Here is a 12,554-nt window from a genome sequence, read left to right on the forward strand (position 1 = left end):
AGAATTCAAGGATATTTCTCCTATTCACTTCCTGCAAGAAGAGAAGTATGATTCTGTTCTGCCTGGCCCCGTAGGCAGTCAGACCTCATGGCTGTGTCCCTTGTTCCCTGAACATCGCTGTTATCCTGTTCTTTTTCAGGGTGCCCAGATGTCATATTGTTCAAACACACATGCTTTACAAACAATTTGTGCAGATAACGCAATCATCACAGGGTCCTGAGGCGACGTACATCCTCAGCTTATGAAGTTGAAAGGATTAAGAGATTAAAGTAAAGACAGGCATTGGAAATTATGAGAGTATTGATTGAGGAAGTGATAAATGTCCATGAAATCTTCCCAATTTATGTTCAGAGATTGCAGTAAAGACAGGCATAAGAAATTATAAAAGTATTCATTTGGAGAACTGACAAATGTCCATGAAATCTTCACAATTTATGTTCTTCTGCCATGGCTTCAGCAGGTGCCTTCATTCAGAGTCCCTGACTTCTCACAACAAGAATTCTATATCTTACCAAAGCAAGCTACAGAAGTAAAAAATAAATATAATCCTATTCAGATAAGCCAACGCTGAGGAACTCTGTTACCACAAGACCGGCCTTACAAGAGCTTCTGAAGAAAGCAGTAAATAAGAGACTATTACAAGTCACTACAAACAAAATAAAAACAAAACAAAAACAAAACAAAACAAAACAAACCCCCAAAAAACCCACTAAAGTACATAAACAGCTGGCACTATAAAGCAACTACATAAATGTGAAAATTAGCCAGCTAAGATCACAGGGACAGAATCAAATCCACGCATAAAAATGCTAACTTTAAATGTAAATGGGCTAAATATCCCAGTTAAAAAACAGAGTGGCAAATTGCATGCAGAGTTAATATCCAAGGGTATGCTGTAACTGAGACACCCATCTAAAATAAGATAACAATAAATTGAAAAAGAAAAATCTACCAAGCAAATAGAAAACAGGAAAAAAGCAGCCGTTGAGATTATAGTTTCTAGCAAAACAGACTTTTAAGTCAACATAGATTTTTTTAAAAAGACAAAAAAGAACATTACATAAGAGTAAAGTGCTATATATGCACCCAATACAGAAACATACAGATTATAAACCAAGTTCTTAGAGACCCTCCAAGATGTTAAGTAAATGGTCTTCATCAGTCGTTACCCTTATATTGCATTCATTCAGTATTAAATCTCTGATGTGGAACACGACATGAGGATTTGTTAAAGGCTTTTCCACATTTTTATCACTTGTGGACTTTCTCTGTAGTATGAATTTTCTTATGTCTAATGAGGTGTGAGAATGAGCTCAATGTTTGGCCGCATTTTTCACATTTGTAGGGTTTCTCTCCAGTGTGAATTCTCTTATGATTAGTAAGGTCTGAGAAGCACTTAAAGGCTTTGCCACGTTCCACGCGTTTTTAGGATGTGTCTCCAGCATGATTTATCTTGTGTTTAATGAAGGTTTAGGAGCAGGTGAAGGTTTGCCACATTCTTTATATTTGTAAGATTTCTCTCCAGGATAAACTTTCTTATGTTCAGTAAGACTTGATAACTTTTTAAAGGCTTTGCCACATTCTTCACATTTGTGTCATCTCTCTGCAATAGGAATTTCCTTTTTTATAGTAAAATGTGAGAACAATGTACAGTCTTTGCCACGTTCTTCATACTTGTAGCATTTCTCCCACTAATTTTTTTTTTTATGTTCACTGAAGTTTGAGCACAACTCAAAAGGTTTGCCACATTTGTTTTGCTATGAGTAGATGACAGACATTGAGGAAAGCCATTAAAACTGCTTTTCTGCCCTTGCAATAACCCACACTTTGGTAGTGTTTCTTTAAAAGTAAGTTATTAAAGTCACAGCTTTCATATTTTATCAGTCACTTTTTGGAATGAATCTTTTATTTTGTGCTCCATCCATATCTCTGTAGTAAAATGAAAACAGCCCAGCTGAAACAAACAAACAAAAAAAGACAAAATTTCTCCCTCATTCGACTCAGGTGAATACACTTGACAAATGTGTAATTATACAAAGCACATTAACAAGGTGACAATAAAATACCACAGGGCCTAATTCCTTTATAAACATATAAGTTTAACATAATATACTTACCAAAATGCCTTTGTGAGAAGTCCAAGACTCAGTTAAGCATTTGCAGCACCAAGTGAGCAAAATGCCAAGAACCACATAGGAGTGTAATAAAAGTATTTCATATTTACCCACTACACACATATTTTATCCTATGAAAAGTGTAGAGACTGACAACTCCTGTCTTACCCCTTCAAAAATAAATAAAACAGTGACATGTCCATGCTTCTGGCTTTTTGAGTTTTTACCAAAGACAAATTCCTACATTCCAAGACAGTGTTGAAAGGAAAGATGGTATACTTTGACTGAGACTAAAGACAAATAACTGTTACAAAAAAAGAAAGACTTCAGTATCATAGGCAGACTATGGGTATCCAGCTGACTGCAGGATCTCAGTGAGAAATATGGGGAACGGCTGGGAGTATTGGATCACACCTGTAATTCTAGCTATTTGGGAGGCTGAGGTGGGTGGATCAGCTGAGGTAAGAAGTTCAAGACCAGCCAGGTCAACATGGTGAAATATCCAGAAATCAGTTATAAAAAATGGAGATATAAATGGTAATATAAAAATTACCAGAGGCGATTTGGGTTAGTTTAGATCTATTTTTAAAAAGAAAAAAAAAAAGTGCTAAAAAGTGAAAATCACCGTGTCAATGATGCTTAATCAGTAAAATAGAAATAAAGAAAAAAACATAAAAATAAATAAATGAAACCAACAAAAGATAAAAGTCACAAAAAGGAATGAAAATTGTGCAGTAGAAGCACAAAAAAAGACTAATATGCAGTTCAACATCAGTAAAAAATTTTAAGAAACTCAAGAAGCTCAGACAATTTCAACTAAGGTTAACACAAAGAGATTTCTAACAAGACAAAACATAAGCAATGTTTTGAAAGTCAGAGAAAAGAAGAGAATCTGGAATTCAGAAATAAAAAATAGATGTGTTATTCATATGTATGCTTCTGCAAGATTACCAGTAAATTTATGAATGTCAATCTTTTGGGCATGAAGGGAATAAGATGACATAGTTAAAACACTGAAATAAATAGCCTAATAAAGAATACTATAGCCTGCAAAATTATCTTTCCAAATGAAAAAAAAAAATGTGGCTATGTTGTAGTCTATATCAGGATGTAACTATGTCATGCCTTTAAGAGACTCATTTCAGATCTAATAAAAATTAGACTGAAAATGGCAGTATAAAAATACATTCCATGCAAGTGTTAATCAAATGAGAGGAGAAGAGGTAACAATTTATTAAGTTGAAAACTGTTATATTTATATAATTTATTTTATGTTAAAATTCACAAGGGACAAAGTAGGACATTCAAATGCAGTAAGAGGGTTCATTCACTGAGAACCTATAAATGCAGGACAGTTATTCCAAACACATAAATCAAACATTGACAGAATTGAATCAAAAATAGGCAGGCAGCAATGAGATAGTGGAAGTATATATCAATACCCCACTTTCAGTAATAAATAAAGCAAGACAGAATATCAATGAGGGAACAAAAACTTGAATGTACTGTACAACAACTACACCTAAGAAATGTATAGAGACAACAGAATAGACTTTCTTTTCAATAGCACATAAAACATTTTCCTAGATGGACCACATGTGACACCACAAAAGAAGTCTTAATTATTTTTCAGTTGAAATTTTACAGAAAATTATTTATAGCCCAGACGGAATGGAACTAGAATTTAGTAACAAAAGAAAAGCAGAAAAACTCCAAAAATATAAAAATTAAGCAACACAGTTTTTTTTTTTTTTTCTTTTGAGATGGACTCTCACTCTGGCACTCCGGAGCTAGGTTGGAGTCCAGTGGCACAATCTCAGCTCCACTGCAATCTCCACCTCCTTGGTTCAAGCCCTACTTGGCCTCCAAAAGTTCTGGGATTAGAGGTATGAGCTACCATGCCCAGAAAACAACGCACTTTTAAGCATGCTGTTTTTCAAGGGTTGGAAGATAAAATATTATGAAGATGTCCATACTGCTTAAAGTGAAGCACACCGGCAACACACTCCTTTTCAATTTTTAATTTTACTTTTCCAAAAATAGACAAAACTCCACAAAATTACTTGAGATTCCAATAAACCATGAAAAGCCTGACAATCTTAAAAATATATATAGGAAGCATTACACATAACAATTTCCAAACACAAAGCAAACCTACATTAATCAAAGGATTGTGCTGCCGGTATAATGGTAGAACACCAAAGTCATGAAACAAAATTCAGCACAGATATAAACTCTTGAATAGACAGGAGAGACATCACCTAGGTTTTGCATTCAGCCATATGTCGCAATTCCTTCAATAAGCAAGACCCAGGCAAGAGAGCGGAGTTACATTTCAATAAGCAAGACCCAGGCAGGAGAGCAGAGTGATATTTCAAAATGTCCTCTGGGTGCGGGACAGAGGCTGGAGAGACACATCACCTAGCCGAAAAGACCAGAAATATGTAATAATATCCCCTGTTGACAGGGCCCAGGCAGAAGAGTCAAGTTATTATGATTCTGTCCCATTGACATGTAACAATAAACCCATGGAAAGGAATATGAGCCAAAAAGTCTCAACACCTGCATACTATGTCCAGTCGTATGACACAATCTCCTCATCTTTGAGAGTGACAGTTTTAACTTTTACCTGAATATGTATATTAGCGTCACAATTTCACATGTGTGCTGGGCCAATATACAACACTGTCTACAGGAGCTGAGGGTTTTATAAACCTGCATAAGAATTGCAAAGCTCTCTGAGGACTACATGCTCCTATGGACTCACAATCTTACATATGGCCCTAAACTCAGGTTTGATAGTCATCATCTCCCTATAGGCAGGGTTAGGGAGGAAGACCCATTATTATGCCAGTGGGCTGGGTCCAGAAATGAGTCACCATCCCAACTTTTGTCAGATTAACATATAAAAGTCAAACCTCCAACTTTGTGCTGTATTCCCTGTTAGACTCAGGACCTCAACCTTGGACATTGTAAACGTTGGATGATGACAACTTTTGATTTCACCTGGGTGTGTAACCAGGAGTCTCAATCTGAACTTTTTGCTGGGCCCTGTTATGAAACATTCTACCACCAAAGAGTTTGAAAAAATATAACTCAGTGTTAAGCTTCTATGACCTTGGTAGAAATATGTAACCCAGGAACTTACCTATTGCCCTAAGCCTAATGATGAGAGGTAAAATATCTCCTATTGGCTGAATCCCAAAATAAGTTTGATCATCATGCCTGTGAACTAAAAGCAAGATATATGTCATAATCCCATATGTGGCCAAATAAGTATGCAGGAGGGAAACATCACTTATATGGTGTGCCAGGCAATATGTCAAATTGCCTTCTTCAGGCAGGGTATAGGGGATATTAGGTCACAATAACCGGGTGCTGGAGCCAGCAATATGACAACATCTCACATGTAGAAAATACCCAGCCAAGTTAGGAGAGCCAAAACATCTGCATTATGGGCTGAAGATATGTCAAAATACCTTCAGTGGCTCCAACACAGGCCGGAGAGTCACATCATAAGGATGCTGGGCTTATCAATATGCAATATGCCATAGTTTCTTCTTTGTGCAAAACCCAGGCAGGTGAGTAACATCATCGGGATGCTGGGCCCTGCAATAGGTCCAAATTCTTTTTTTGTGGGCATGGCTCGGGAACAAGAGGAGAGTCACATATTCTGCGTGCTGGGATCAGCAATGTGCCAAAATCCTCTTAATGTGAAGCCCCAGGCAGAAAAATAGAGTCACATTTTTAGATCATGGGCTCAGAAATATGTCCAAATGTTTCCAGTAGGCAGGGCTCATTGAGACGAGGAAAGTCATATCACCTGGGTGCTTCCCTTCAAATATGCATAATGTAACATGTAAGCAGAAACAAGGTAGAGGAGCCACGTCCCTTGGGTGCTGGGTCCTGAGATATGTCACAAGGCTGTCTTAGGATATCATCCAGGAAAGGGAGTTACATAAATGAGGTACAAATTCTCTGCTTATTCCACAATGCTCCATGTGAGTAGATCCCAGAGAGGGAGTCACTTCAACCAGGTGATAGCTGAAGAGACGTGTCACAGTGTCCTCTATGAAGCACAGCCCTGGCTAAAGAGTACCCTCACCTGTGTGCCTGGCCTAGAAATATGTCACTCTCCAGGTTGGCAGGGCCCAAGCCGGAGAGCCACATAACTTAGGTGACAGGCCTAGAGATATGTCACAGTGCCCTACTTTCAGCATGGCTCTGGCAAAAGAATACCCTCACCTGTGTGACTGGCATTGCAATATGTCACTATCCTTCCTTCGGGCAGGGCCCATTCCAAAGAAGAGAGTTACATCACCTATGAGGTGGACACAGGAATATGTCACAGTAATTTTTGTGGACATGGCACAGGCAAGAATGTAACATCACCTGGCTGCTAGATCCAGTGATCTGTCACAACACTTACTGAGAGAAGAGCCCAGGCATGGCAGTCATATCCCCTTGAGGCTGACCCAGCTAGATATCACAATTTCATATATAAACTGGGACCATTCTGGAAAGTCCAACTACACAGGTGCTTGGCAAATATGTATATCACAATCACACTGTCAGAAAATGTCAAAGGTGAGTTTTATGATACCACACATGTCCTGTTTTTACGTGTGACAGTTGGCTGCAACCATGTGGGATGATGACAGTTATTTCTGTCAGCTGGGTTTGCATACAGGACTCACAATTTCACCTGTGTGCTGAGTGCTACATTGGTTCTGCTTGTATAACCCAAAGACTCTATAAAAGTATGTGTCAATGTTGTAATCTTTTGTGATGTTTGTACAAGAATGTGATCCATGATATCACACATGTCCCTACACCTAGTTATAAGAGCCTAAATATTCTCTATTTGCTGAGTTCACATCTAAGAGTCGTTATCATTCCTGCGAGCCTTGCGTAGGTATATGTTACAATTCCATGAGTGGTTATGAAGCAGGCAGAACAGCCTCATCACCTAAATTCTGGGCCTGAAATATTTCAATATTATCTTTGTAGACAGGGTCCTGTCAGAAATGCCACATGACTTGTGTGCTGGGTCCAGCTCTGTGGCACAATGTCCCTTGTGGGTAGTGTCCAGGAAGAAGAGGAGAGTAATATCACCTAAATGATAGGCCCCAAAATATGTCAAAATGCCTCCTGTTGACAGGGCCCAGGAAAGAGAGTCGTATCATTTAGATGCAGTGTTTAGAAATGCTACAATTACCAAAGTAAGCAGGGTACAGGCAGGAGAGGAGAATCATGTAACCTAGATGATGTGTTCAGAAATATGATACAATCCCTCCTGAGGCCATTGTTAAAATAGCACGGTAAAATCATCAAGTTACTTGGCCAGGTATTTGTCAAAATCTGATTTGTGGGCTATACCTAGGAAGAATTATTAAATCTCTCTGGAGCTGGACAAAGGTATGTGTCACAATTTCACTTGTGGAAAGATTTAGGAATTACAGTCACCATCCTGCACATGTCCTGGCTCCAAACATATGAGTTGTTATTAGGCTTTTGTTTTGGTCTCAGGTATATGACACAATATCACCTGTGGCCAGAAAGAAGGCAAGAAACTCACATCACCTACATGGGTGCAGGTCCAGTGAGATGTTGCAATCCACCTGGTGGGCAAAACCCTTGCAGAATTGTCAGATCACTTGGATGCTGGTTTCAGTGATATATTTTTAAAAAGCCCTCTGTGGGAAGGACTTTGGCATGAGAGAAGACTCACTTCATCTAGGAAATTGGCCTAGATTATGTCACAATGACCATTAACTGCAGTAAGAAGGCTAAAGAGTGCCCTCACCTTGGTGCTGTACCCAGGAATATGTCCCAAGCTCCCTGTGGTCAGGACACAATGAAAAGTGAAGAAACATCACCCAGGTGCTGAGCCAAGTGGTATGTTACTATGTTGGCAGAACCCCCCAAAAAATCACATCTCCTGGGTGCAGTAGCCTGTTATGTGTCACAGTGCTCTGTAACTGCAGGGCCAAGACAGTAGAAGAGAGTGACATCACTTATGTGATGGACCTAAATGTAAGACACAATTCTCTTTTTAGGCAGTTTTCAGGCAGGTAAATCACATCACCTGGGTGACGGTCCCAGTGATATATAAAAGTGCCCCTTATAGGCAGAGACAAGGATGATGTTATATATTGATTAGGGGCTTGTTCCGCATATGGCAAAATTTCATCTGTGGTCTGGGCCTAGAAATGTGCATCAAATTACTCATATGCTGGGAAGGGTTGCATGACCCAATCATACTTTCAAGAAGGTTCAGAAATAATTTTCAGTTCACTCAAGTCCGAGCTTTGAGTATGCGAATCAACACATTCTACGAGTTGGGTTGTAGTACAGGAGTCACAATCTCAGCAATGGGAAGATCCATGTGTAAGAGCCCCAATCCCACCCGAAGACTGTGTTCTAATAAGAGAGACACAGCACCACAGTTCTACTTAATCATGGTTCCAATGCCATCAAACACCTGTGGATCAGATTCACGTACAAGTGTAACAGTTTCAAGTCTTATGTGTGTGAGATTTAGCACTGCATTGGTAGGCTCTGTTCATGTGTGAGAATAACAATTGTGTCAGCTTGGTGTGCATTCAAGAGTCACAATACCACCTGGTTTTGGGTGCCTGTTATGACACTCTTTGTACCACTCAGGCTTTATACGATATGCCTGAGTGGGATACTTTTCTGTGTATTCTTAGAGGTGGGTAATATAGAACTCTACCCATGGCCATAGAGTTATTATTGTGCATGTGAGCTGAATCCAGGTATATGTCCCAAATTCACCTTTGGACAGAGACAAGACAGAAGAGTCTCATCATCTGGATTCTGATCCAGGGATACATTTTATTCTGCACTGTAGGCAGGACTCAGTCAGAAGAATCATATCACCTGGGTACACTCTCAAATAATATGTCATCATGCCTACTGAATACAGGGATTAAAAAAAGTGGATAGTCAAATTCTCTAAGGACTGGGCTCAGCACATCTTCTCGGACTCTCTTGGCAGAGCCCAGGACAAAGGGGAGAGTCACATCACCTAGGTTTTTCACTCAGTGGTATGTCACAATTTCTTCAGTGGGCAGGATTCAGCAGGAGAGGAGATTCACATTACCTAGATGCTTTATCTAGTGATATGTCACAGTGTCCTTTGTGGGCAGGGCACTGGCAGGAGAGACACACCACTTAGCTGATAGGCCTAAAGACATGTGATCATATCCCCTGTTGTCAGGGTCCAAGCAGAGGGTTAAACTATTATGATTCTAAGCAAGGGATGTTTTACAATGCAACCATGGAAAAGAATTTAAGCCTAAAATTCTCAACACCTAGAGGTACTAGGCCTCGTGATATGGCACAATCTCTTCATCTATTAGGGTGACAACTTTGACTGTTTGGTGAGTATATAGGAGTCACAATCTCATGTGTATTCTGGGTGATCCTATGACACAATCTACAACATACAAAGGCTTTAAGCAACATGCATGAGAGTTGCAATCCATTCTGAGGCCTACATGCTCCTATTGACTCACAATCTTACATACTGCTTTAAACTCAGTTATGATAGGCAACATTCCTCTTATAGGCTAGATTCAGACAGAAGACACATTATTATGCCCCTGATGTGGGTCCAGAAGTGAGTTACCATCTCACCTGTAGCAAGATCCATATATGAAAGTCACAATTCCATCTTTGTACTTTATTTACTTGTTAGACTCAGGACTTCAACAGTGGGCTTTGTAAATGTGGGATTTTGACAACTTTTTCTCTCACCTGCATGTGTAATCAAGAGTCAAAACCTTAACTTTTACTGGGCCCTGTTATAAAACTCTGTGTACCAACCAAGGAGTTTATAGATTATGTGTTACTGTTGTAACCTTCTGTGAACTTTGTACAAATTTGCAACTCATAACCTTACCTATTGTTCTAAGTGTAGCCATGAAAGGCAAAACATCTACTATTGGTGAAATTTCAATTTCAGCTTGATCATAATGCGTCTGAATTGAAGGAATGTAAATTTCATACCATTTGTAGAAAAAAAAAAAAACTTTTCAGAAAGGTAGCATACTTAGGTGCTGTGCCAAGCAATATATCACAAGGCCCTCTCAATGCAGGTCTAGAAATTGGGGTTATGATAACTGGGTGCTGGACTCAGCAATAAGACATAAACCCAAATGTAGAATATGTAGGAAAAAGAAATGCATACTAATGATGAGAACAAGATTACCTACAGAATAGGCCCATGGTATGTAAAAATACTTTGTTATTCTAGCACAGGCAAAAGAGTTACATCATCAGGGTGGGGGCCCCAGCAATATGCCATAATTCTCTCTTTATGCTGGACCTAGTAACAAGAGAACTGTCATCTTCATGCTGGGATCAGTGATACATCAAAGTTCCTTTTCATGGGCATAGTTCAGGAAAAAAGGAGTCAATTTACCTAAGTATTGGGCCTAGCAGTATATCACATCACCCCATTCTAAAGGCTCTTGCAGAAAAAAAGATTCACATCACTTAAGACACAGGCTCAGATATATGGCCCAATGTCCCAAGTAGGCAGGACTCATGCAGAAGAGAAGAGTCATATCACCTAGGTGCTTCCTAGGTATATGACACAATCTAACATGTGAGGTGAAGCCAGGCAGAAGAGTCACATCACCTTGATGCTGGGTCCTAAGATATGTCACAAGACTTCCTTAAGACAGGACACAGAAAAGAGAGTTACAAAAAATAAGTACAAAAAAATATCACAATGCTCCATGTGGGCAAGACAGAAGCAGGGAGTCACATCACCTAGGGGACTGGCCGAGAGATATGTCACAATGTCCTCCTTGAGTCATGGCCCTGGTGAAAGAGTACCATCACCCATGTGCGTAGCCTAGCAATATGTCCACTATCCAGGTAAGCAGGACCCAAGCAGGAGAGCAACATCATCTAGCTGATAGGCCCAGAGATTTGTCACAGTGACCTCTTTAGGACATGGCCCTAGCAAGAAAGTACCATCACCTCTGTGCATTATGTTGTTATCCAGGTAAGCAGTACCCAAGCAGGAGTGCAGTATCACCTAGGATAGGCCAAGAGATTTGTCACAATGCCCTCTTTAGGACATGGTACTAGCAAAATAGTCCTGTCACCTCTGTGCCTGGCCCAGCCACATGTCACTATCACCCACTGAGTGCTGTGCCCATTCTAATAAGGAGAGTTGTGTTGCCTAAGTTGTTGACACAGTGGTATGGCCCAGTGATTTCTCTATGCATGGCTTAGGCAAAAATGTAACATGACCTGGGTGCTGGATCTAGTGATATGTCATGATTCTTAATGACAGCAGGGCCGAGGCAGGAGCATCACATCACCTAAAGTTTGGCCCAGGTAGGTATCACAATAACATATGTGGACTGGAACAAGTCTGGAGAACAAAATCACACAGGTGCTTGGCGAAGATTTATATCACTCACACTGGCAGAAAATTCTGAGGATGAGATTTATAATACCACACATGTCCTGTTTTCATGATTGACAGTTGGCATCATATATGTGAGACGGTGACAGTACTTGCTGTCAGCTGAGTGCACATATAAGACTCACAGTTTCACCTTTCTCTTGGGTTCTGTTATAAAACTCTCTGTATGGGCCAAGGTGTTTATAAAACATCTGAGGCTCTTATAACCTTCCTTGTCTTCTTTTTTACCAGAAAGTGATTTAATCTCTCATGTTTCTGAAGCAAGTTATGAGACTCAGAATTAACCGTATTTACGGGGTCCACATATGAGGGTCATTATCATGTCTCTAAGTTGTACCTAGGTATATGTAACAATTTATATTGTGGCTTATGAAATAGGCACGACAGCCAAGTACACTAAATGCTGAGCCAGAAATGTTCTAATATTCTCCTTGTAGGCATACTCCTGGCAGTAAAGTTGCATAAACTGGGGGTTACACCCAGATATATGGCACAATGCTCCTGTGGGCAGTTTCCAGACAGAAGAAGAGACTCATATCACCTAAATGCTAGGACCAGAGATATGCCGCAATGTCTCGTGTTGAAGGGACCAGGAAATGGAGTCATATCATTTGGATGGCATGATTAGAGATGCTGGAATCCCCAGTGGAAGGAGGGTTCAGACAGCAGAGGAGAGTAAGACAACTAGACGAGGGGTCCAAAGCCATGTTACAATCCTTCCTGAGGATATTCTTAAGACAGGAGAGTCAAATTGCCAAGGTGCTCAGCTGAGTAATATGTCCAAATCTCATTTGTGGGCAACATTTAGGCAAGATGATTAAGTCACTCAAGAGATGGGAAATAGACTATGTCACAATAACACTGGTGGAAAGTTTCAGCAATGGGAGTCACCATCTTTGATGTGACCTGGCTTCAGGTCTAACAGTCATGATTAGTCCTCTTGTTTGCTCTCAAGTATATGGCATGATATC

At 39.9% G+C, this 12,554-nt stretch overlaps 1 pseudogene; it reads right to left on the reverse strand.

Annotated features, from left to right (window-relative positions):
* On the reverse strand, positions 949–1,957 carry ZNF736P5Y (zinc finger protein 736 pseudogene 5, Y-linked; annotated as a pseudogene).

The sequence above is a fragment of the Homo sapiens genome, chromosome Y (assembly GCF_000001405.40).
Source record: "Homo sapiens chromosome Y, GRCh38.p14 Primary Assembly".
NCBI lineage: Eukaryota > Metazoa > Chordata > Mammalia > Primates > Hominidae > Homo > Homo sapiens.